Below are 24,516 nucleotides of genomic sequence, written 5' to 3' on the forward strand. Positions count from 1 at the left end.
AGAGACAGAGATGTGGGGAGAGAGAAACTATAGATTAAAAGAGACTTAAAACACACATGGCCTTTTTAATAAGATGTACAAAACATGTAGGAGACAATCAGGGAAATTGTAGGCGCTGACTAGATCAATTTGATGATAATTTTTCCAGGAGTGATAATGGCATTCTGGCTATTATAACCTTTTGAAGATTCCCTTATCTTTTAGAAATATATACCAAAATAGTCATGGTTGAAACGTTATGGTGTCTAGGATTTGCTTTAAAATAACCCAATGAGATAAGGGTATTGGGGTGGGAAGTAGAGGAAACAAGATTGGGCATGAGTTGTCACTCTGAGGCTGAGTAACTGGTACATTATTCTACTGTTATATATGTTTGAAATATTCCATGATAAAAAAAAAAAAAGCTTACCAGAAATAAACATTTTGGAAAGCTCCTTTTCCAAAACAAAAGCAGAGGCAACCAGGATTTCTTGTGCCTCAGGTGTTTTTATGTTGTCACCATTGTGTGTAACATGTGGCCAGAGTGAGTGGCAGCTTTCTTCCCAGTAGTCTTTCCTTCCTTCCAAGTATGTTGGTGAGTTGGTTCTAAACTGCCTGATAAGGGGTGAGGAGGAGCCACATACGATGTGCCTTCATTGGATCAGCCTGCCTCCCAGGAAGGACCACCAACCATGGGGCAGAGGGAACAAAGCTGGGTCTGGGCCCCAGCACTGCAGCTGACTTGGCAGGTTCAAGGTAGGAGCACTGCAAACCCAGCTACCTGGGCAGGTTTCTCTCTGGGGCACGTGCGGTGCTAGGGCACTCACAGCAGGCATAAATCATGTGGATAAAAGCAGAGTCATGTGATGATTAAAAGCTTGCTACTTGGGAGGCTTAGGCGAGAGGATCACTTGAGCCCAGGAATTCAAGGCCAGCCTGGGCAACACAGCAAGACTCCACGTCCATAAAAATAAATAAATAAATAAATAGGCCAGGCACAGTGGCTCATGCCTGTAATCCCAGCACTTTAGGAGGCTAAGGCAGGTGGATCACCTGAGGTCAGGCATTCAAGACAAGCCTGGCCAACATGGTAAAAACCCGTCTCTACTAAAAATACAAAAATTAGCCGGGCATGGTGATGGGCACCTGTAATCCCAGCTACTCAGGAGGCTAAGGCAGGAGAATCGCTTGAACCTGGGAGGCAGAGGTTGTAGTGAGCCAAGATCACGCCACCGCACTCCAGCCTAGGTGACAGAGCAAGACTCCGTCTCAAAAATAAACAAACAAACAAACAAACAAACAAGAGCCTGGGCTCTGAGAGACATGGGTTCAAATTCCAGATCTACCCATCAGAACCTGTGTGGCTGGTGGGCATGTGCCTTTACCTGCCTGAGCCTCAATTTCCCCACTTGTAGATTGGGAACAGTATGAGTGTATTAGTCTGTTTTCACACTGCTATAAACAAATACCTGAGACTGGATAATTTTTAAACTAAAGAGGTTTAATTGACGCACAGTTCCTTATGGCTGAGGAGGCCTCAGGAAACTTACAATCATGGTGGAAGGCGAAGGGGAGGCAGGCACCTTCACCACAAGGCGGCAGGAGAGAGAAGAGTGAGGAAGGAACTTCCAAACACGTATAAAACCATCAGATCTCCTGATAACTCACTCACTATCATGAGAACAGCATGGGGGAAACTGCCCCCATGATCCAATCACCTCCCTCCCTCGACACGTAGGGATTACAGGCCCCTCACTCGACCCGTGGGGATTACAACTGGAGATGAGATTTGGGAGGGGACAGACAGCCAAACCATATCAATGAGAATCTTCCGATCAGGCTGTTTTGTGGATTCAGTGTGAGAGTATGTGTGAAGCACTGAGCTCAGCGCCAGGCTAGAGTGATACCCAACATATGGTGGTTATTTCTACTGCTGTTATTGTTATCGTTGTTAGGCCTAGCCAGAATATAAAGCAGGGCTTTTCCCCAAAAATTATTCCTTAGATTTGACCGCTTAGAGAGTATGCTATATCATGGGACACATTCCCAATTACTTCATTTTGACCAATAGAATGCTATTTGGGAAAGACGCATTAGCCTGAAATGGCCTCACTAGATGCTCATTTTGGATGCTAATGGCAGTAACCTGACAAATGTGCTAAAAGAAAGATCAGGTAATTTTGTTGTAGCTTTAGAATTTCTCCAGGGAGTGTGGTCTCATGCACACAGGGGATGGATATTGTTGCAAACAAGCCTTTTACTGCCCATTTTGTAACACAATAAAAAAGGTGTGCAGAGTATGAATTTATACTTACCAGAAGAATAAAAGTAACCTAGTAGCCTAATGTTCAGCAAACAGTTATTTTTGGCTTGGGATAATTTTAGCACCGTGTAAGAATTTGTAACAAACAACTTAGAGAACTGGAGACAGGTACGCTAGAAAATGATGGACGTCTCAAAAAGTAGCCAGGTAATGACAAAGGACACAGATTCAAAAATGCAGGTAGAGACTGAGCAAGGTGACTCACACCTGTAATCCCAGCGCTTTGGGAGGATGAAGCCAGCAGATTGCTTGAGCCCAGAAGTTCAAGACCAGACTGGGCAACATGACAACACTCTGTCTCAACTAAAAATACAAAAATTAGCCAGTGTGGTGGCACTCGCCTGTAGTCCCAGCTACTCTGGAGGCTGAGGTGGGATGATTGCTGAGCCCAGGAGATCAAGGCTGCAGTGAGCCAAGATTGCACAACTGCACTCAAGCCTGGGAGACAGAGTAAGACCCTGTTACACAGACACACACATGCACGCAGTAGGTAGAGCACAAGCAACAAACGAAAAAATAAATTGGACTTTGTCAAAATGTAAAATTTCTGTGCATCAAAAGATACAGTCAACAAAGTGAAATGGCAACCCGTGAAATGGGAGAAAACATTGGCAAACCATATATGTGATGAGGAGTTAATATCCAGAATATATAAAGAACTCCTACAACTCAATCACAAAAAAACAAACAACCCAATTAAAGAATGGAGAAAGGGGGCCAGGCACGGTGGTTCATGCCTGCAATCCCAGCACTTTGGGAGGCTGAGGTGGGCAGATCACCTGAGGTCAGGAGTTCGAGACCAGCCTGGCCAACATGGTAAAACCCCGTCTCCACGAAAATACAAAAATTAGCCGGACGTGGTGGTGCACAGTTGTAATCCCAGCTACTCCGGAGGCTGAGGCAGGAGAATTGGCTTGAACCTGGGAGGCAGAGGTTGCAGTGAGCCGAGATCGTGCCACTGCCCTCCAGTCTGGGCAACTGAGCAGGGCTCCATCTCAAAATAAATAAATAAATAAATAAATAAATAAATAAAGAATGGGGAAAGGGCTTGGATAGATATGCTTCCAAAGAAGATATACAAATGGCCAATAAGAACATAAAAAAGATGTTCAACTTCACTAATCATTAGGGAAATGCAAATCAAAACCACAATGAGATACCACCTCATACCCACTAGGATGGCTACTATCAAAAACAAACAAACAAACAAACAAAAAACAGAATGTGGAGAAATTGGAACCCTGTGCACCATTGAAAGGAATACAAAATGGTGCAACCACTATGGAAAACAGTACGGCAGTTTACTTAAAAAACTTAAAAATTGAATTACTATAGGTCTAGCAAACCACTTCTGGGTATATACACAAGATAACTGATGGCAGGGACTCAAAGAGGTATTTGCACACCCATGTTCACTGCAGCATTATTCACAATAACGAAGCAACGGAAGCAACTCAAGAGTCCACTGTCAGATGAATGGATAAACAAAATGTGAGCTATATACACATAATACACTATTATTCAGCCTTAAAAAGGAGGTAAATTCTGATACATGCTACAACATGGATGACCCTGGAAGACATTATGTTAGGTGAAATAAGCCAGTCACACATGCACAAATATGTACAATTCCACCTCCATGAGGCACCTAAGAGTAGTCAAATGCAGAGACAGAAAAAGCAGAACGGTGGCTGCCAGGGACTAGGTCAGGGGAGGGCACTGGGGAGTTATCCTTTAATGCATACAGTTTGTTTTACAAAATGAAAAGAGTACTGGAGACAAATAGTGGTGATGGTTGTATAACAACGGGAATGTACTTACTGTCACTGAACTGTACACATACGAATGGTGAAGACGGTAAATTTCATGTTATGTATACTTCACCAAAATTAAAAGATAATAACAAAAAAATGCAGCTGAAGGGTTTGAAATTAAATTGTTTCAGAAACTGCAAGAAAAGGCAATATTTCAGGCCGGGTACGGTGGCTCTCATCTGTAATTCCAGCACTTTGGGAGGCTGAGGCAGGCGGATCGCTTGAGACCGGGAGTTCAAGACCAGCCTGGACAACATGGTGAAACCCTGTCTCTACTAAAAATACATACAAAATATTATCCAGGCGTGGTGGCGGGTGCCTGTAATCCCAGCTACTCTGGAGGCTGAGGCAGGAGAATCGCTTGAACCCAGGAGGCAGAGGTTGCAGTGAGCCGAGATCATGCTGCTGCACTCCTGCCTGGCGACAGAATGAGACTGTCTCAAAAAAAAAAAAAAAAAAAAAAAGAAAAGAAAAGAAAAAGAAAAACCAATGTTTATATATATGATCTTATTTTAAACCTATTTTTCAGGTTACTGCTACAAACACCCAAAATTACTATAAAAATTGTAATTTTGCAGGTAGTACCAAACTCATAAATTTAATATTTTAAGTAGGTATGTGACGGTTTCATTGTCTTGAGTTTTTGAGGGTTTTTATAAACTTAAATTGGCCAAAAAATACTTGGGGTTTTTTGTTTTGTTTTCAGAGACAAGGTCTTGCTCTGTTGCCCAGCCTGGAGTGCAGTGGTAACCTCAAACTCCTGGCCTCAAGCGATCCTCCCACTTCAGCCTCTTGAGTAGCTAAGACTATAGATACATGCTCCCATGCCTGGCTAACTTCTAAATTTTTTGTAGAGATGAGGTCTTTCTATGTTTCCCAGGCTGGTCTCAAACTCCTGGCCTCAAGCTATCCTCCTAGCTCGGTCTTTCAAAGTGCTGGGATTACAGACATGAGCCACTGTGCCCAGTCCTGGTGGGTGGGGGGCGGAGGGGGTAATCTTTTAATTAGGAAAATACAAAGGTACCTCCTATTGCTTCTGGCATGTTTAGAGCATGTGTGGAATCATCTCCCATCACCACCAGGCTCTCCCCCAGACACCCTTGGCTCTCTCAGGAACTCCTGGACTGTTCTGGGGTCCACACAGACGAGAATCCAGAGCTCAGGGCTCCAAGATTCTCACAAAGCTTTCTCTCCTCTCCAATAGGGCACTTCCTAAAAGCAGAGAATATTTACTGTTTAAAAAGCTTGTATTTTGTTGCCCCCCACCTCACTTTTTTTTTCAGAGACAGGGCCTCGCCATGTTGCCCAGGCTGGCCTTGAACTGCATTCAAAAGGTCCTCCCACCTCAGCCGCCTGAGTATCTGGGACTACAGGCATAAGTCACCAAGCCAGGCTCTGTTGCACTTGTTAATATTCTTTTATTTAAACGTTAAGAGGTGGCTGGGTGCAATGGCTCAAGCTTGTAATCCCAGCCTTTGGGAGGCCGAGGCGGACAGATCACTTGAGGTCAGGAGTTCGAGACCAGCCTGGCCACGATGGCAAAACCCCATCTCTACTAATAATACAAAAATTAGCTGGGCATGGTCGCGCACGCCTGCAATCCCAGCTACTCGGGAGGCCCAGGTACAAAAATCACTTGAGCCCAGGAGGCGGAGGTGGCAGTGAGCTGAGATGGCACCACTGCACTCCAGCCTGGGCAACAGATGGAGGCTCTGTCTCTAAATAAATAAATAAATGGGAAGAGCTGCTCAAAGAAATGGTAGAAAACATATATTTTTAAAAGCTCTTGTACCCCCATATCCTGAAAATGCAGTTTTCCTTTGGCAGAGTCTCCTCGGGACTGTCACCTTACAATTGCCCCCACAATGGGCCCCAGTGGGAAGCTGGCCTGTTGTTTTTTGCCTTGAGTCTTTGGCTGATCTACATGGGAAAGGCATATCCCCAGCTACAGAACCAGCACAACGTGGACTATGTAATATTCAAGGGTATATGTCCCTTCTCCATCTCATAGATCCCCTTCCACCGCCTTGACACTGAAGAGCAACCTCCCCATCACTCCTTTCTCATTGTTCCTGGGTTTCTCTCTGAGACTGCGAGGGCGTAGAATGAGGAATGAAAAAGACATGCAACCCCATCTCACCATGAAGGAGAATCACAATCACGGGTTGCTGAGAACATGTAAGAGGTAGCTCTAAGCTAGCCTGGGAGGTAAAGGAAGGCTTCCAGGAGGAGGTGACCTTTACATTGAGACAGAAAGGATGAACAGGAATAAGCTAGGAAGAGGGAGTGAAGAGGGCTTTCCAGGTGAAGGGAACGACCCATTCAAAGCCTGGAGGCAGGACAGAGTATGAGCTGCTTGAGAAACAGAAATCAGGCCAATGTGCTCGGCACTCAGCGTAGCATGGAGAGCCAAGGGGAGGGAGGAAGAGATGAGGCCAGGGAGAGGCCACGGGGAGGATTCTAGACTTGGAGGCTTTTCCTGAGTTTGGAAAAGCCCAAATTACCAAGCTCTTCCAGGGAGAATAACTCAACTGGGCAGATTGTGTGAGCTGGAGCGGAGGTGGAGGTCAGGACGCCAAGATGGAATTTTCTGGCTTTTCTGCACACTGGGGACAGTTGCAGGGCTGTCTAGATCCCACAGAGCTCAACAATATGCCTGACTCACCACCCCTCTGAGGCTGCCCAGCCCACAGGTGACAGTGTCAGGGCTGCGGCCACCCGCCTGGTTCTGCCACTCAGCGACCTTGGACAAGGCCCCCCTACCCACAAGTCTCTTTATTCATACAATTGTAATGACAGCTACGTCCCAGCCTTACTCTAGGATTCCATGAGATCATTCTAGGTCAGAGGCTTTATTAATAAAGGTTATTATTATTACTATTACTGTTGTTGATGATGTTTGCAGCCTGGCCCAACTCCTGGGCACTGCTTTGTCCGCTGGTTGCTGGTTCTGTTTCAGGGACAGACACTAGCAAGGCGCAGGGCTGGCATGTTTGCTTTTTTGCATACATGCGAATCTTGCATTCAGAAGAGCCCCTCCTTCCACAGAGGGTCCAGCGGGGTTGCTTGGGGGACACATTCCAGAAAGAATAACTCTGTGTAACATGAAACCCTGAATCTGGAAACACAGCCTCTATGGGAAATTGGAGGATAAGGTCTGGTCTGTGGACCGCCCAACCTCATTCCATACAAAAGGGATATTGAAACCCAAAGGCCTCATCCCTTGGCCTCCAGACTATGGTCTCGCCCTCACCGCGGCCTGAGAGATCTTCCTAAAAACCAAACTTGACCAGGACACTGCCCTGTTTCAACTCTTCCGTGGCTCCTACTCAGGTTCCCCCTGAGGATCAGGTCCACACGCCTCATTGTGACCTACAATGCCCTGTGGTCAGGCCACTGTCCATACCTGCAGCCACACCAGAGCCTGCTCTGACCCAGCCACATGGGCCTCCAGCGGATCAAGTTCTTTCCTGCTTCAGGACCCCTGCACATCCGTGAGCCCTCTTCCCACTCTAACAGGCGACTGCTAATTCTTCCAGATTCAGAAGTCTACAGACTTTGTTAAACTTCCAGATAATAATAGAAAGTAGGCCGGGCATGGTGGCTCACACCTGTAATCCCAGCACTTTGGGAGGCCAAGCTGGATGGATCACCTGAGGTCAGGAGTTCAAGACCAGCCTGGCCAACATGGTGAAACCCCGTCTCTACTGAAAATACAAAAATTAGCCGGGCACGGTGGCAGGTGCCTGTAATCTCGGCTAATGGGGAGGCTGAGGCAGGAGAATCACTTGAATCTGGGAGGTGGAATTTGCAATGAGCTGAGATCATGCCACTGCACTCCAGCCTGGATAACAGAGTGAGACTCTGTCTCAAAAATCTAAATAAATAGATAGGTAGATAAATAAATAAAAGAAAGCAGTAATATTATCCCCACTTTCCAGATAAGCAGACTGAGGCCATCCACCTCAGGCCTGGAGTCTAGCTGGCCTGGCTTGAGGTTTAGTTGCAGGAGCCACTTGCAAAATCACCAAGCACCTGGTCACAGCTTCACGACCACAGGAGAGTGGAGGTCGCTCGAGAAGAGAGGTAGGCCAAGGAGAACAGGGCCAGGGTAGCACAGTGTCAGGGTAGCACAGTGTCACGGCATGGAAGCCATTCTCAACGCATTCAAAACCCAGTTCAGCCACTCAGACGCTGTGGTCTAAGGCAGGACATTCAACCTCTCTGAACCTCAGTTTTCTCATCTGTAAAATGGGGCTAAATAATAATACAAACCTCACAGGTACATTGTGAGTATTGGGGAATGACAGATGAAGTGCCCGGCCCGTGGTGGACACTCAGTGCATGGCATGATGCCACCTTCCCTTGACGCACCTGGGGAGGCTGCACCAGTCCAGACCAGCCTAGACCAGACTAGCCTTGCATCACCCAAGGTTAGGCAGCCAGGGCCTGGGAACCATCCCTGCCCTGTTTTCTGTTTGGGGCTTTGTGTTTCCCAGCGTTTCCTTTGGAAAAAGTCCAGCTTCCTCCCCACTGGAAGGAGGCAGGAGGGGACTGTTCACGCCTGGGTCTGGATGCCCGAGGGAGCCTTGTGGGGAGATGACAAGAGCCTGGGGTTTGGAGTCAGGCCAGTAGGGTTTGAATCCAGGATCTGACCTTTACAACACTGTGTGGCCCTGGGCAAGTGACTTCACCTCTCTGAGGTGCCAATTTCCTCACCTCTTTAAGGTCTCATGATCTCTGCCTCAAAGGGTACTGGATGCAGATGGAGGGGTGGGGTGAGAGAAGGTTCTGGATGCAGTTCCCCAGTGTACATACAGTGATTCCTTTTGGGGATGGGCTGAAGACCAGGGGAGGAGCCAAAGGTTGACAGCTGGAGTGACCAAGACAAATGCTCCCTGGCAAACGGAATCCAGTGGGTGTCCTGCCTAGGATGGAGGTGGGAAGGACAAATTTAGGTCCAGCTTGTCAGCATGCTGCTGGAATGAGGGTCCAAAGTGATCAGACCTCTGATTATTCAGGAGAAAAATCCACGCAAAATTTTCACGCAAAATCTCATGATTAAAGTATGGTAAGGAGTATATAGGATGATTCCATTTATAGAAAATTCACAACAGGCAAAACCAAGATAGTGGTTTCCTTTGAGGGAGGTGGGTGGTGCCTGGGAGGGAACATGAAGGATTTCAGGAAGCCAGCAACATTCTCTCTCTTAATCTGGGTGTTGGTGGCATGGGCATGTCCTCTTTGTAATCCTATGCTTCGTGCACTTTTCTACTGTGTATTATACTTCAATAAAAATGCTAGAATAATTTTAAAGCAAATAAATCAAGGCTGCAGTGCTGGGAGAAAAGACTACCTATAGGGGCCAAGCTGAACACACCTGCAGGCTGCCTTCTGACTCTGGGCTGGGGACGTGAGGCAGGCATGGGTGCTCTTGGCCCCTGACACCCTTAGGGGGCAGGTGCTTCCTCAGCCACACAGGAGGAACACCCATCCTGCCCCACCCTGCTGCCTTATCCAGAGAAGGCTGGACAGCCACAGCTCCTCTTAGCCAGATCTGCTGAGCTCACATTCTAGAGAAACAGACAAGTTCTGTCACTTACATGATAAAGTCCCCCCAAAAACTCACCCTTACTTATTATACATTTTACTTTACCAAGAATGCCCAGAGGACAGTAATCAAAAGGCAGACTCAGGCCGGGTGTGGTGGCTCACACCTGTAATCCCAGCACTTTGGGAGGCAGAGATAGGCGGATCACCTGGGGTCAGGTGTTCGAGACCAGCCTGACCAATATGGTGAAACCCCGTCTCTACCAAATACACAAAAAAATTAGCCAAGCATGGTGGCAGGTGCCTATAATCCCAGCTACCTGGGAGTCTGAGGTGAGAGAATCACTTGAACCTGGGAGGAGGAGGTTGCAGTGAGCTGAGATCGCACCACTGCACTCCAGCCTGGTTGACTGAGCGAGACTGTGTCTTAAAAAAAAAAAAAAAAAAAAGCAAAAGAGGCAGATCCAGTTATGTTTCAAAAAAAGGCTTCCTAGAATCTGGATTTCACCAGCCGACTGCCAGCCCTGATCACCCTCACAAGGTAAACCCAAAGGCTACCAACTTGTATCGTCACTGGTGCCCAGGAGCCCCTGACGTCACAGGGGTTGTGGTTGGCAGTGGAATTGCCCCAGCTCCACCCCTCTGCCTGGTCCAGAAGTCTCGGTTTTATTTTTCTTTTCTTTTCTGAGGGCCAACAGGAGATGCACACACCTCCTACATAAAGCGGTACTAACCAAAACAAATGCACATCAAATGCATGTATTTGCACAAACACTCATAAAAACTTTACCAGACACCAAATAATTACAGGAAGGGGCGAACCTTCAATCCACCAAGCCACAGCATTTTGAAGTGGATTTAAGATAAAGATCAAATAGGATGGGCACTGGCCCCAGCCTCACATCGGGCCCCCTTCCCCAGACACGGGCCCATGAGATAGAGACCAGGGAACTTTCTGGGTTTTGGGACTCTGTGTTCAATTCATAGAAAATGTCTTTCTGCAAGTTATTCTTAGTGTCTTCATGTGGCTTTTATGGTTTCAAATACGATCCTGGGTCTTCTCTGCTCTCACTGTGGTCCTCAGCTGGGGAAGCTCCCGGTTCCAGACAGGCTGCAGAAATAATCCAGCCCATCCATTTGGCAAGAAAGCCAAAGATTCTTGAAGAAAATAAATTTTAAAATATGTGACATCTTGAGAATCCCACGTGGTTGCTTTTGATGTAATGGGCTAACGCCCCTAATTCTGTGTCCCCGCCAGGGTCCAGCTCTGAGCAGCTACTTGCAGGCCCAGGCTCTAGAGCAGGGCCAGTGGCAAAGGCTGTGCCGGGCCTCTAGGCACTGCCTGGAGGTCTCCTGCGCCCAGCTCACACCTTCCTGGAGCTAAGCTTCGCCTGCCCTGGAGGAAGGTACGCAGGTGAGCCCAGGGGGTCTGTTTGCCCTCAAGCCCTGGTTGAAGGAGAAGCAGGGAGCTGTGTTCTCCCCAAGTCTTGGTAGCATGGCCCCTCTTCCATCCAATTATTATGACTACTTGAGATGGAGTCTTGCTCTGTCACCCAGGCTGGAGTGCAGTGGTGCAATTTCGGTTCACTGCAACCTCCACCTCCCGGATTCAAGTGGTTCTCCTGCCTCAGCTTCCCAAATAGCTAGGATTACAGACACGTGCCACCATGCCCAGCTAATTTTTGTATTTTTAGTAAAGATGGGGTTTCACCATGTTGGCCAGGTTGGTCTTGAACTCCTGACCTCGTGATCCACCAGCCTCACCCTCCCAAAGTGTCCATCCAATTATTTACCAAATATGTATAGAGGCCTGGTAGGTGCTGGGTGTTGTGGTGAGCACTTATGTTTCAGCCTCTCGACAACCCTGTGGGACAAATGAGGAAGCTGAGGTGCAGAGAGTAGGGCAGGACCTTCCTGAGGTCCCATGGCCAGATCCTGAACCAGATCTGGGTGGCTCCCCAAGATCTGCTCTTGACCACTCCTAGCCACTGCGAGACCTCAGCACTGGGCCACCCCGCCAGGGCACCGTCTCCCTCAGAGCTCCAGTCCCGAGAGCTGACAGCAGCCTGGGCTCTAAGGGAGCACCGTCTCCTGACCCAATGTGGAGGAATCCCATGACTAAAGACCCAGACCTTGTGCTGGAAAGTCATGGGTCTGTGGCCAGAGCCCCTACCCACTGAAGGGGAAGCTACAGGAAGGACTTAGGGGCTTTGCTGGGGCTGGCTGTCTCCCCACTGCACACAGACACACACACTTGCATGCAGCCTCAGAGCCCCAGCTCTGCCTCACCAGCAAATTCTGCCACAAATCCTGTCTCCCTGCAGCCCCTCTCCCATCAGGCTGGAAAACCCCAATGGGAGAGAGAACCAGTTCCCAGCCCTGATTCAAAGGACCCCAGCTGGGCGCCATCACTTTACTCCTGTGTGTGGGCCTCCACCTGGGTTCAAGGTCGCTGTGAGGTCTCCCACCGGCACAGCAAGACCACAGACATTTGCACCGCTCTGCGGCAAGGTGGCTGTGTTACTCTGTGACGATCACACACGGCCATCTCTAGCTGAGAAGGGCCTGACCCTTTGGCCCATGTGCCCTGGGGTCCAGCCCCGCTGGGGTCCAAAAAGCATAACATGGTCACTGCTGGCTGGAAAGTTTCCAGCACTCAGTCTCTGGGTGTTCCCGCTCCACTTCCGGAGTCAGTGTGGTTCTCCCAGGACCCTAGACCCGGGGCCACCTCCCAGGAATATCAGCCCCCAACCTGGCCCACTGCTTGGGCGGCTCTGGTCCCCCCAATCTGGCCGCCTGTCAAGGATCTGAGGCTTGGCAGGGCTGATGGCGCCGGGACAGCGTGGGACGGCCCAGGCTCTCTGCAGCCCTGGTTCTCCGGGCAGAGTGGAATAGAGACACTCGCAGCTCCTGGTCCTTGCCTTCCCACTCCTCCGAACCCGGCCAGGACTGCACCCTGCGCTGCCCCAGATCCGTGCCTCCAGCTGGAATGGTAAACTGGGAGGGGGCAGTGTGGCTCTGGCTCTGGTCAGAAGCACAAAACAATCCAGACAGCCCGGAGCGGGATGGACAGGGCTGGGTGGGGTGGGGGAGGGCAGCTCATAGAGCCGTGCTCGAGGGAGGCGGGTAGCGCAGAGGAGAGGGTGCAAGGCCCTAAGAAGAGGAGCGGGGGGACTAGGGCGGGGCTCAATGGAGCTGGGGCGTCCGCAGACTGGAAGGAGCCGGGACCCCCGCTCCAGAGCCTCCCTTTCCATTCTCGCTTCTTCCAGTGATTCCGAGCCCCCGACTCAGTCTTTCCCCCAGGTAGAGAGAATCCGAGGCTGTTTCTGCCGCTGAAATCTGAGCGGGAGAGCATCCCGAAGCCGCCTGCGTGGAGCGAGCAGCCCCCGCGTCATGGGCCAGAGGCGCCCGGGAGAATCTGCGGGTCACGGATCACACCCGCAGGGGCCTGGCGGAGCAAGGTGCCGTTCGCCGCCTGCGGGCAGGAGCCGGCTCTGGGCCTCGGCCCCTGCTGTGCCGTCCAGTCGGCCGCTTCTTCGCTTCTTCGGCAAGGGAAGCGGTGGAGAGGCGCGGGAGCCCCGATTGTGCTGGAGAGATCTGGGACCCCTGCGCGTCTGCGTGCGAAGGACCCGAGACCGGCCAACTCAGCTGGGAGCACGGGACACGAGGAGTGAGGACAAAGGGCAAGGAACGGGGCCTATAGGGAGGGTGTGTGTGTGTGTGTGTGTGTGTGTGTGTGTGTGTGTGTGTGTGTGTGTGTGTGTGTGTGTAGGGGGAATGAATGGACAGCGGGGAAGGCATGCAGAGGGGCCCAAGGGGTGTGGACTCAGCAGCCCCACCCCAGACCAGAGAAGGCAGCCAGGCTCTGGCGTCCACCGAGCCAGCGCCCCTATCTGGGCGCGGGCCGCATGGCGGCAGACCACCCTATATCCGCCTTGGTGGCGTGGGATATGACTGGCAGGAGCGCGGAAGAGGCGCTGAGAATGCATGCGCACCCGGACAGACCAGACGCGGCACGGAGGGGGTACTTCCCACAAGTCCTCCTGCCTTGAGACCAGGCCTTCGAGTGGTCCGGGGAATGCGCCTCTGGGCACAGCCAGCGGCCCCAGATCGGCACTGGACGCCAACCCGAGTTAGAGAAGCCTGGGAGACTGGATCGCAGGGGCCCTCATTCAGCCAAGGAGGGGGAAAGGAGAGCTGTAGGGTAGGAGAGGCCAGGCACAGGGAAGGTGGGGAGGGGATGGAGCCTTGCGCCAGGAGTTGGGGGTGCAGGGCCTGTGACGAGAGAGTATTACCATGTGCACCCTGAAGGAGAGGGAGAGGGTCTGGGCCTGGAACGAGGACTCTCGCCTGCAGGCAGTCGCCCAGCCCCGGTTGCAGGGATGGACCGCGACCAGCAGAGGGCAGAAAGTGCCTGGTCCGCCCGCCGGCCCCGAGCCGCGCTCCGCGCCTCGGGACTCTGGCTCTGTGCGCCGAAGCCTTGCCCGCCCGGCTTCTCCCTGCAGCAGCCGCGCCCCCGCCCCAGATGCCCGGAGAAGGCGGCTCAGGCCCAGCCCAACTTCGCGGGTCCAGGCCTGGGGTTTCCAGGTCAAGCAAAGAGGGGACCGAGATGTGGGAGAGAAACTCCACATTGACTGTCCACTCTCCCCGACCTAGCCACACAAAGGCGCCTAGAAATACACGAAGGCACAAAGCCCCCCACCACACACAAACACACACACACACACACACGCTAGGAGACACGCGAGCACACAGAAGCATTCAGAACCCCGGAGATAAGCACAGATACGCAAAGCTGACAGAGACACCCATACAGAAAAGGATCGCAGACACAACACAGAGGCTGAGACACGCACAAAGACTTAGGCCCCCGCATGAAATGATGCGGACACACACCCCAGACACAGGCACGAAGGACCCACACATTCACATACACACGGGTGCAGGGGACTCAGACACAGATCCACAGATTCACCCCTGGGAGTCTGGAAGGTTGCAGGGACACACATACCGTGTGTGCAGAGCCAAGGAGCACACGGAGGCAAGAGCCGCAGAGGCGGGGGCCCGACACGCACAGACACACACAGATACCCACCGACACACACGCAGGTAGGGTAGGGCGGGAGCCTCTAATCCTCCACAAAGCCGGGCCCCTCCGCGGGGCCCCGCGGCGCAGGGGGCCACTTCTGACCAAGCCTCCCGCAGGTTCCAAATCCGATCCGCCCTTTCGCCTCCAGCGAGGTCAGGGGACCCGCCCCCCATGCCCTCCGCCCCCGCCCGGCTCCGCGCCGCTGCCTCGCTCCGGGAGGGGCCGGGGCCGCCCCGCAGCGGATCGCGGGGGGTCAGCCCGCCGCTACCCCGGGCCGCAACCGCCCCCCTGCTCCCCGGTGAGCCGCGCGTCGGTGGGGACCACGGGCCGCAGACAGCCGGTCCGACGCTGTGGCCTCTCGCACCGGACGCGGGTGCCAGGCCCGGCTGGCGCGGAAGTCGGCAGCTCCATCTCGCCAGCTTTCGCGTCCCGTTGCCGAGGTCCACTTTGCCCAGGCTGGCTAGAGCACTGTCCTTGATCCGCGCGTCCCAGCGACCCCTGGCCGGGCACCCGACCCGCCAAAGGACCCCGATCTTGGCAGCCAACCTAATTTCTTCAGAGCCGCTACCCTGGGGCCACCACTCCCTCCTAGCGCCCCTCACTGCAAACCCTAGGAGGCCCGGGTCTTGCCCACTGCTCCTGCCCCTGCCCGGGGACCCCTTTTCCAGCCTTAGTTGTCCTCTAAACTCTCGGTCGCCTGAACCCAGGCCTGACCTTCCTTGTCGTCCCAGTGTCCCCCATTCTCGATCCCGGGGCCCCAACCTCCCATCGGCTCAGTCCCCCGCCCAATCTCTGCCAGGCCCGGAGCTTTCCCAGACCCCTCACCCACACTCCAGGCTCACTCCCCGTTCCTGGGCCTGGGCCCCCCTTGCACGAGTCCAGGGCCAGCCGTCCTCGCCTTCTGCCCGCCCCCGTCCTTCGTTCCTGGGAGCCGGCCCTCTCCGCGGACCAAGCGGCCCCGAGCAGGCGCCGCCGCCCGGGGGACTCCGACTCAGCCCCCGCGACCTACCTCGGCCGACAGTCGGGGGTTCCCAAGCGGCCACTCCCGGCCGGCGCCGTCCCCTGGCGGAGCCGCCGCGCTCCCTGCCGTCCGCGCAGTCTGGCCTCGCTCGGGGCCACTCCTCGTAGCGCTGGAGCTTTACAAAATATTAATAATAAAGAAGGCAGAGGAGAAAAAAGAAAGCCTTCGCTCCCCAACTCCCAAATCAATTTTTCAAGGGGGTGGAGCAGAGGGATTTGTTTCGAAGACGATCAAAACTTCTGCGAGGGGCCCGCGGGGCGGCCGGGCCGGGGAGCCGGGGCCTGAGCTCGGGGCCAGGCGCGGCGCGGGGCGCGGGCCAGGGGCGCGGAGCCCCGGGGCGCGCGGGGGGGCGGGACGGCACTATTTGACGTGGAGCCGGCGGCGCATCCCGGCGCAGGGATACCGGCCGCGGGGTTCAAATGTCAGGAAGTTTCGGGAGGTGAGGCGGCCCGTATCCCTCCGCCGCCAGCCCCAGCTCTAAACCCGGCGGCTCAGCGGGCGCACCATGGCACTGGAGTAGCGCGGGGAGCGCGCCCGGAGCCCCGCGGCCCGCTGCGCCCCGCCCGGGACCCCGCTGCGCCGCGCGCCCCCCCCGCGGCCCGCGGGGCCGCCCCTGCACCCCCACCCCCTCCCCCGCCTGCCGCCGCCGCCACCGCCACCGCCGCCGCCGCCTCCTCCCCGCGGCTCCGTCTGCAGCAGCCGCCGCCGCCGGGTTCCGGGACTGACAAGCAGGTGACAGAGGAGCCGGCGCGCGTGGCTGCAAGTGTCCGGGAGAGCGCGGCGCGGGCTGCAGCCGCCCCGGCCCGCCCGCACGACGCCGGGGCCCGGGGCCAGCGCGTCGCCGCTCCACGATCGCCGGGGGCCGGCGCAACCCCTGCCCTGCGGGGGCCGCGCCTCCCCGGTTCCAGGGCCGCGGCGGCGGAGAGCGGGTGGACGGGCCGGCGGGCGAGCAGCCCGGCCGGCGGGGTCCGCAGCGCGCCCCGCGTCCCATGGATATAGCAACAGGTCCCGAGTCGCTGGAGAGGTGCTTCCCTCGCGGGCAGACGGACTGCGCCAAGATGTTGGACGGCATCAAGATGGAGGAGCACGCCCTGCGCCCCGGGCCCGCCACTCTGGGGGTGCTGCTGGGTGAGTGCGGGGTCGGAACGCCCGAGTGGTCTCGGGCGTGGGATGGGGCGTCGTCCGGCTGTGGACACGGGCGTTGGGGCCAACGGATAAAGGAAATGGGTTTGCAGGACATGGGGAGGAGGCAGAGACAGGACTCCTGGAGTGATCGCCAGAGGGCCGCAAGTACGCCTCCGGCAGGCGTCCTGAGGGGACAGGACAGCTCCAGTCGCCACCCACCATCCTTTCCAGGCTTAGGTTCTAGAGCTGCCACTCCGATGTGGTAGGTGGCGGGTGGCAGGGGTGATGGAGGACCTAGCAATCACCTTGGCGAGCTTGGGAGAGGCGCAAGGTCACCTGGGGTGGGGGAGATTCTAAGAGAAAAACGTCTCCCTGGTCACTCAAACCACAGATTTTGGGGAGATCGGGGATAGAAGACCACGAACGCCACCGTGGGGCGTGTCAGCCAGCGAGCGCCCCAGCCTCACCTCGCCTGTCTTGGTCCCAGCCGGCCACCCTGCGCCGTGCTCGTTGTCATTTGTCTTAACACGGAGCGCGGATTCTCCGGAGAAGGGGAGAGCACAGCGCCGAGCCAAGGCTCGAGGCCCGCGGCCTCTCCACGCCGGAGCCCGAGGACTGGGACGGACTAGCCGGGGCCGCCCGGCCCCTGGCGCGGCGGTCCGGGGAGCGCAGGCGGCAGGCGGTGATCCCGGGCGGCCCGAGCCCTCGGGGCCGAGGGCTGTGGGCCCGGTGCGACCGGGACGCCGGGGCTGGGCCGGGCGGCGCTGACGGCCGGGCTTTCGCCCTGTGCGCTACAGGCTCCGACTGCCCGCATCCCGCCGTCTGCGAGGGCTGCCAGCGGCCCATCTCCGACCGCTTCCTGATGCGAGTCAACGAGTCGTCCTGGCACGAGGAGTGTTTGCAGTGCGCGGCGTGTCAGCAAGCCCTCACCACCAGCTGCTACTTCCGGGATCGGAAACTGTACTGCAAACAAGACTACCAACAGTAAGCGCTTCTCGTCCTCCTTCCCCGCCACCGCCCGGCACTCGAGCCCGGTCAGCCCCCTGCCGGGCCCGGCCCGCGCCCGCTCTGCCGCCGGCTCTGTGCGCGGCTGGGCCGGGCAGCTCCAAGGGTTCCGAGAGCTGCGCGTCTTGGGGCTGGGGCGGACCAGCCCAGCCCAGCGGGCACTGATGGGGTCCTGGGAGCCTCCGGACGGCCCCCAGTTGCCATCCGTTGTCCCGGAATCCTGCGCTGGGCCGGCCGAGGGATTTGGTGCCTGGGTCCTGGGATATAGGGTCTGGCGCTACGGAGGCCTGAATTGGGAACCCAAAATTGATTTCCAAAGGAAAATAATGTTTTAGGGAGCCAGGCCTGGCGGACTGCTTCAAGGGCCTGGTGTGTGGGGGTTTGGGATTCCTGGAGCCTGGAGCCAGGAGCCAGGAGGTGGAGTGCTGGGACACTGAACGGCCTGAGCGGCAAGGGAGGCCCCCTTTCTGCCAGGCTCACTGCTGCACTTTTAGTCCCTGATGGAGAGAAAAGAATGTCCATATTCCCCAAACCGTTCCATGCGGGAATTTTGCACTTGCAGTTTTCTTTGGTTGGAGAAGCACTCTAGGAAGAGGATCTCAAAAGGTGGCAAGTTACAATTTGGGGCTCCCAATGGGAGTGAGGAGCTGACTGAGTCAGCCCTTCCCACAAGGCCTCCTTTCTGGTAGTGTGTATTGAGGAGGGAGATGGCCCGCTCTGCCCTGGTATAACCCAAACCTCAGGGCTGAGGCCAGAGATGTGGGTTGAGCCCTTCTTGCTAACTAGTTTTTAGCTGAGACTGGATTTGTATGGCCGGGGTTGGGGACAGACAACAGGACATGCAGGCTTTTTCTTTTGACCTCCTGGGTTTTCTGCCTGGCACTGCAATTGGGAGGGAGGCAGTGAGGAGCCACAACTGAAAGAGGGGTGTGGAGATCCCCAAAGCTCTGTTGCAGACACAGCGGGTGCCTGCGAAAACTTTAGTGATGCCAGAAAACCGTCCTGGATGAGGCTGCAGAGCGGGTAGGCTGCTTAGGTGGTTTGGTGCTCAGAGAGGGCTGTGTATGCCCAAGCCTCCAGGGAAGGAAAAGCTGGGCTGCCGGCGCCTCGTGGTGAGTGCAACCTACCTGTTCTGCCCAGGGATTGTCCCCAGTCCAGGGCCTAGTGGAAAGCAGCGCAGCCCAACTGTTTAACTGAGGCCTGGAAACAGTGCAGGCCAGAGCCCTAGAGAGGGCATCGGATTCTACCCCAAAAGGCTCTGGCTGTGCCTGGTGGTCTGGGGGCTGAGCCTGAGCTGCTTTTTGCACCTAGCTCTTTCTTCCGGCTGAGGGATCTTTGGGTAGGGATTGGAGTCCATTCAGAGGTTCAGCTGTTTTGCTGGTCCCAGAGTGCAGCTGAGGCCTTCCTCTCAGTAGGAAGCACCCCAGATTTAGGCACACTGCCGTAGGTCGGCTTTGTGCTGTGCTCTGAACTAATATGATTCTAGTTCCGGGAGAGGGAGACGCCAGTCCGTTCAGTCACAGCCCAAGCATAGAGCAGCACAAATTGAATGGGGAAAATAGTTTGGGGTAGATGTGGCTGTGGGCTCTGGGCTGGCTAGAGGAGCCCCTCTGTAGGGTGCACCAGCCTCTAGCCCCCTCCCCACCACGCCCTGCACCCCTGGCCTCACTCTGCTTGCCTGATCCCGAGCTCTGGCAGTGCCACTTACACCCAGCTCAGCCACCAGCCTTTACGACAACACATGGGGGAAGGGGGCCCAGGAAACTAAAACCGGCCTCCAAATCATTTGCACAGCTTAAAAAAAAGAAAAAAACTTGTTAATATATTGAAAAGACTTATGAATCGCGTGTACATATTCTGCCCTCCCCCCACTCCCCATAATTATTTACGGAGCTTCTCTTTAAAAAAAAAAAGGAAAGGATAACCCCTGGTTCTTCAGGCACAGAATGGTAAAGTCACGAAATTTCAGCTGGATGTTGCCTTAGAGATGAGCGGCTCACCCCCTCATCTTACAAAACAATTAAACGTTAAGCATTTGCTACTGCTTTGTCCAAAGTATATTTGTTTTAAAAAGAAAAGGAAAGAGTCACCTAACAGCCAGCTTCTTCAGTGCAGTCCGGTGTGTTGAGAATGATTTTTGGCACAGGGCGAATCTCAGGTCCGAAGACCTCACTCAGTCTGGATCCTGTGGGGCTGAAGCCTGGGGTGGGGAGTGCATTATTCTAGCTGTGGACAGTTCATTCCTCCACCCTCATTCTATTTTTTCCAATAACGCCAATTAGGTATCTGCGTTAGGCCGGCCGGCAGGATGTGCTGGGGGTGGGGGGTGGGGGGTGGGGTGATTGTTATCAGGACAAATAGCCAGTGAGTCGTTTCACAGGGAGATGGAGCGCCGCTCCAGGCAGGCAGCAGCCACTGGAAAGGGATGTTCTTTGCACAATAAAAATTTTTTTATTCACATTTCTTTTTTTCTTTGAGAATTGCAGATGCATATTTATTTCATCTGTGCGTAAATGCTTTTCAGACAGGAATCCAAGCAAGCGGGCGCAGAAACGTGCCTTCTTGATATTGTCGAGTCTGTGCGTCAGCGGTATTGAGAAATTAACAATCCCCCCACCAAACACAACTTCTGAAAAATGTGTCCTCACCCCTGGCTGAGTTGCAGGGCTCCGTCCTTAAAAAGAGGTTGCCATTTTTAGTAAATGTCTCTTCTTCCTTTCGATTTGTTCTCAAAGATCCCAGACACCCAGAAGTGCCAAGTTGTCTTACGCACCACGGGGGTGATTAATTGACACTGGGGCACATTGAGCCGAATTTGATAAAAATCCTCTTGTACATCCTTGGCGGGCAGAGCAGAGCGCCGGCCGTGGAGTTTGGGCATTTTCACTCTTAACTCCAAAAGTCTCCTTTTTCCCCATGTGTGAGTTTTGGGGGCTCCTTCAAAAAAAAGAAAAAGCAGCCTTTTCGGACAGAAAACCAGTTAGGAAACGGAGAGGAAACGCAGCCTCCCCCAAATCAGAACACCTCTCACCGTCCTCCACCGGAGAACAAATGAAAAATAAGGCACTTTCCCCCCTCCCATGTTTTTATCTTGGCGGCTTGGCCGAATAGAATTATGTAACTCTCTTTTCTTGCCGTCTGTCGCTCGTCTGGAAAGGGTTTTTATCCTGAAGAGGTGGAGAATTCCTGGAGGAGGCTCCGGAAGGGGGGAGGGTCGGTGGGAGAGTCCAAAAATCTGTCACAAAATGGAGTCTAATCGCTTGTAAGACAGCTCCCAGGTTTGGCGACCCGAGACCCGCTGGGGTGCAAGCGGGCGCCTTTGTGCACGGCGAGACGCGGGGTTCCGGCCCGGGCCGCGCTCCTACCTCGGCGGCGGGGCCGCGGCGTCCTTCCGCCCGCAGGGCCTGCCCGGGCGGCCGAGCCTCTCGGCGACACAGACTTCAGGGCTCCGCCGGGCCCGCTGGGGGCCCTTTGGGCTCGCCTGTCCAGGTAGGATGTGCCTACGTTGGCAGCAGGGGAGCATCGAGGCTTTGATTGAGTTTCACAGAAAGCCCTCTTGAGTCCTGGGGTGAGTTTTTAAAAAATTTCCCCCAGCTGGCTGTGGCTCCAGTGGCCCAACCGCTCTGCCCTGCGCATTCCTTTCCTTGGAAGTGTTTACCCCGGGAAAGACCTTCTTGGGAGGCTCACCTCTCCCCCCACACTCCCCATCCAGCTCCCGCGTTCGGGTGTGGCCCAGGGGGAGAGCAGTCAGGCTCCGGCCTTCTCTGGCTACTTCTTCTGCCAGCCTGGAAGGCCTCCCATAGGCCCTCCTGCAGGGTGCCAGTCTCAAGCAGCACCCCTTCCCCAGTGTGTACCCCAACCAGCGAGCCCCCCTGCCCCAACCATCAAACTCATTCAGGGCTGCAGAGCGCCTGTCCTGGAAACTGCTTGGGAGGAGGAGCCAGGACTTTGCCTTACAAAAAGGCTTCTATGGTGCTGTCTCTGGGGGCTGAGGCCCAAAGGGCTCACCCTGGCAGCCCAAGTCTGGGGACCCTCTGGCCCTTTGGAGGGTACCTCTCCATTTAACCCCGGCACCTTGGCTGTGTGCAAGACGGTAAGCACAGGCCTTCCTGAGGCTGCAGTCCCCTGCTGCTGAACGGAGGCATTATTCACAGTGACTCCTGGCTCACCCTCGACTCCCCGGGCGCTGGGCTGGTGTGGCCTTATTTGTTTGCCCTATTTTTCTTGAGTGGGGGAAGCAGGCTGGGAGGATCTCCTCTGGGGTATGTGATTGGTGACTGTCAGCTCTTTCCTGCCCTGTCCATTGGAGCCAGGCTTAGAGACCCACGGCCGTGGCACCTACCTGATCCTCCTCTGTGAAATGGGGACTTATTCTGCTGGGGGCAAGTATTCTTATAAGGACTTGAGATAAGGTGCCCCAAAGGACCTGGCATCTTGCCTGGCTTGTTATTAATACTCTGGAAGTTATTGCTGTTACTCTTCTCACCATGAGCATGGCAGGGAATACCTTGTCTCCAAGGACACACACCACACTGCCAACAGGTTCTCTACCCAGGTTCCATGGTACACAGGGTTTACCATGAGCCTCTCCATGCAGGGAGGATGAGGAGCACCCTGGGGAAGCCATTGCCTTTCCCTTCGTAGGACACTGTAAAAGTCTTGCCTTCCTCAGCCATGAAAAGAGCTTTAGACTCGGAGTCAGACCTGAGTTCACCTCCCAGCCCCAAGTCTTAGCAGCTGTGTGATCTTCGCTAAGTGGTTGCCCATCTCTGAGCTGGGGCCTCATCAACAAACTGGGGGTGATGATGTGACTTTGCAGGGTGGTTGTGAGGATTACACAGGCACCTGGTGGAACTTTAATAAATATTCCATTCTCCGGGGGATCCATTATCCTCTCCTGCACCTCAAGAGAGGTGGAAAACCTGATTGTGTGGGTGCGCACAGGTGCCAACTGCATTATCAGAAAGGGCCACAACAGGGTGGCCAGCTGTGCTGGGCTCTTTCTCCTTTGGGGGCAGACGGGTGTGCTGTGCTCTTTCTCCCTGGGGGCAGACGGAGGGTGGCCGGGTGTCCTGTGCTCTTTCTCCTTGGGGGCAGACGGAGGGTGGCCGGGTGTGCTGGCTCTTTTTCCTTTGGTGGCAAACAGAGGGTGGTCCAGAGCAACAGTATTTCCACCGGGAAACAATTGGCATCTCCAGGGCCTCCATATAGCTTGGAAAAGCTTAATAATTCATATTTGAAGAACTGTTTGTACTTACTGTTTTGTGATTGAAGCCACAGAAAATAAAGCTCAGCCAATGGAGAAGGGGGTAGGTGGAGGAGAGGTCTGGGGGATTTGTCTATTTCTCAGAAGGAAGATGAGGTTTAAAAGGTGGAGAAACACCATTCCAGGAACTCAGAAGGCCCCTCCAGCTCGGGCTCTGTGGCCTTGTGAGGTTTCCACCCATGGGTGGCTGGCGATGCTTCTCCAAGGAGCCGCCTTTGTCCTGAGGCTCTGGAGTTTCTAAAAAATAAAGAAAAGGAAGAGGAAAAAAACCAGTCCTACTTTGGCATCAGTTAGGCTGAAGGATGGAGGATACTCTCACCGACATGAGTTATAACTTCCAATTTGTTGGACACCACAGTCAAGCCTCAGCCAGGGGAGGGAGGAAGGGAGGGATAGTCTACTCATCCAAGGAGCCGCGTGTGAGCTGTCAGTCAGTTGGGGGTGCCCGAGGACCCAGGGCCCTTGGCTGTCTGGCTGACCCAGCCGGAAGTTCCTCTGGCCCTCTCCAACCAGATTCTGTGCTGATGGCAGCAAAGAGCAAAACCAAAATTATATATATTTATTACCACTGCAGTCAGAAGTGGAGAGACGGTGGTAGTGAGAGAGGGCTAAGGCTGAAAACCATATTTGAAAAAGTTGATTCACGAAGGTAGAGGAAGCAAAGTGGCAGACGTTTGCCATTTCATCGACCGGCTGGTGTTCTCCATTCATGTCATAAATGTCTCCTGTCATTTGATGCCAAAAGCAACATGATTTGGTTCCCCGGTGGCCTATAGGGTTTTTCTCTCTCTCTCTCTTCTTTTTTTTTTTTTTTTTTTTTTTTTTGCAGTAAATGTTTATTTGTTGATAATAGACTTTAAACAGCCTAGCCTTGACCTCAAGTCTCCTGAAGCATCCATCTTCTCTCAGAAAAATGTTTCAAAGTTTGTGTAATTTTGGGGGGAAGGTGTAACTGACGGGGCAGTGAAGGGCTTGTGTTTGCTTTAACTACTGCTGCGGTGAGGAGTGGTGGGGCATAAGGGGCCACTGTGCTCGGAATGGCAACTTTCTTGGGTTTCAGGCCGGCTGACAGCACTTCCTCTCTGCCCTTTACCTTTGCTTTGCCTGATCAGTACAAATAAATTTCTGCGTGGGCCCTTCCTTTGTTATTCCCTGGATAATATTGTATCCATTTCTGCTCAGCATTTTGACTGGCAGCCGCTGGACCTGCCCTGCTGACCTTGGGGCCCCAAAGGGAGGATGAGGGGCTGGGGATCTGGGGATGTGTGGGTACATTTGTGGGGAGGCTTTGTCTCAATTGGGAGCTTGGCTCGGACCAGCCCTGGACGAATGTCCTGGCTGATG

The 24,516-nt window shown here is 54.2% G+C and overlaps 1 protein-coding gene and 1 long non-coding RNA gene across 6 annotated transcripts in view, besides 7 other annotated features; one reads left to right on the forward strand and one right to left on the reverse strand.

Annotated features, from left to right (window-relative positions):
• Window positions 10,149–10,349: a silencer, noted in NCBI's record as "fragment chr9:129370112-129370312 (GRCh37/hg19 assembly coordinates)". NCBI's record gives its function as "represses an EF-1alpha promoter that drives an FKBP-Casp9 reporter gene in an ReSE screen in K562 erythroleukemia cells {active_cell/tissue: K562}" and the evidence as "EXISTENCE:reporter gene assay evidence [ECO:0000049][PMID:32094911]".
• LMX1B-DT (LMX1B divergent transcript) lies at window positions 10,429–16,115 on the reverse strand. Of its 3 annotated transcripts, none has more exons than NR_184147.1 (3): window positions 15,765–16,115; window positions 11,460–11,530; window positions 10,429–10,777 (listed from the first exon to the last, which is right to left on the reverse strand). It is a non-coding gene; the product is annotated as an LMX1B divergent transcript (long non-coding RNA). The 3 variants fall into 3 exon arrangements; NR_184146.1 differs by having other exon boundaries at window positions 10,429–10,824; NR_184148.1 differs by lacking the exon at window positions 11,460–11,530.
• Window positions 12,364–13,228: an enhancer, noted in NCBI's record as "H3K27ac-H3K4me1 hESC enhancer chr9:129372327-129373191 (GRCh37/hg19 assembly coordinates)". NCBI's record gives its function as "activates a minimal SCP1, AML or CMV promoter by ChIP-STARR-seq in primed H9 embryonic stem cells {active_cell/tissue: H9 hESC(primed)}" and the evidence as "EXISTENCE:reporter gene assay evidence [ECO:0000049][PMID:30033119]".
• Window positions 13,950–14,019: a silencer, noted in NCBI's record as "silent region_20289". NCBI's record gives its function as "represses an Ori minimal core promoter by ATAC-STARR-seq in GM12878 lymphoblastoid cells {active_cell/tissue: GM12878}" and the evidence as "EXISTENCE:reporter gene assay evidence [ECO:0000049][PMID:35858748]".
• Window positions 15,172–16,140: an enhancer, noted in NCBI's record as "H3K4me1 hESC enhancer chr9:129375135-129376103 (GRCh37/hg19 assembly coordinates)". NCBI's record gives its function as "activates a minimal SCP1, AML or CMV promoter by ChIP-STARR-seq in naive H9 embryonic stem cells {active_cell/tissue: H9 hESC(naive)}" and the evidence as "EXISTENCE:reporter gene assay evidence [ECO:0000049][PMID:30033119]".
• LMX1B (LIM homeobox transcription factor 1 beta) overlaps window positions 16,244–24,516 on the forward strand; it is an 87,105-nt gene continuing 78,832 nt past the window's right edge. For all 3 annotated transcript variants that reach the window (NM_001174146.2, NM_001174147.2, NM_002316.4), the window contains exons 1-2: window positions 16,244–16,904; window positions 17,699–17,885. In NM_001174146.2, the coding sequence (NP_001167617.1) occupies window positions 16,766–16,904; window positions 17,699–17,885 (326 nt within the window). In that variant the 5' untranslated portion in view covers window positions 16,244–16,765. The remainder of the gene's footprint in view (window positions 16,905–17,698; window positions 17,886–24,516) is intronic.
• Window positions 16,396–16,977: an enhancer, noted in NCBI's record as "H3K4me1 hESC enhancer chr9:129376359-129376940 (GRCh37/hg19 assembly coordinates)". NCBI's record gives its function as "activates a minimal SCP1, AML or CMV promoter by ChIP-STARR-seq in naive H9 embryonic stem cells {active_cell/tissue: H9 hESC(naive)}" and the evidence as "EXISTENCE:reporter gene assay evidence [ECO:0000049][PMID:30033119]".
• Window positions 16,978–17,557: an enhancer, noted in NCBI's record as "H3K4me1 hESC enhancer chr9:129376941-129377520 (GRCh37/hg19 assembly coordinates)". NCBI's record gives its function as "activates a minimal SCP1, AML or CMV promoter by ChIP-STARR-seq in naive H9 embryonic stem cells {active_cell/tissue: H9 hESC(naive)}" and the evidence as "EXISTENCE:reporter gene assay evidence [ECO:0000049][PMID:30033119]".
• Window positions 18,138–18,717: an enhancer, noted in NCBI's record as "H3K4me1 hESC enhancer chr9:129378101-129378680 (GRCh37/hg19 assembly coordinates)". NCBI's record gives its function as "activates a minimal SCP1, AML or CMV promoter by ChIP-STARR-seq in naive H9 embryonic stem cells {active_cell/tissue: H9 hESC(naive)}" and the evidence as "EXISTENCE:reporter gene assay evidence [ECO:0000049][PMID:30033119]".

The sequence above is a fragment of the Homo sapiens genome, chromosome 9, assembly GCF_000001405.40.
Source record: "Homo sapiens chromosome 9, GRCh38.p14 Primary Assembly".
Taxonomy (NCBI): domain Eukaryota; kingdom Metazoa; phylum Chordata; class Mammalia; order Primates; family Hominidae; genus Homo; species Homo sapiens.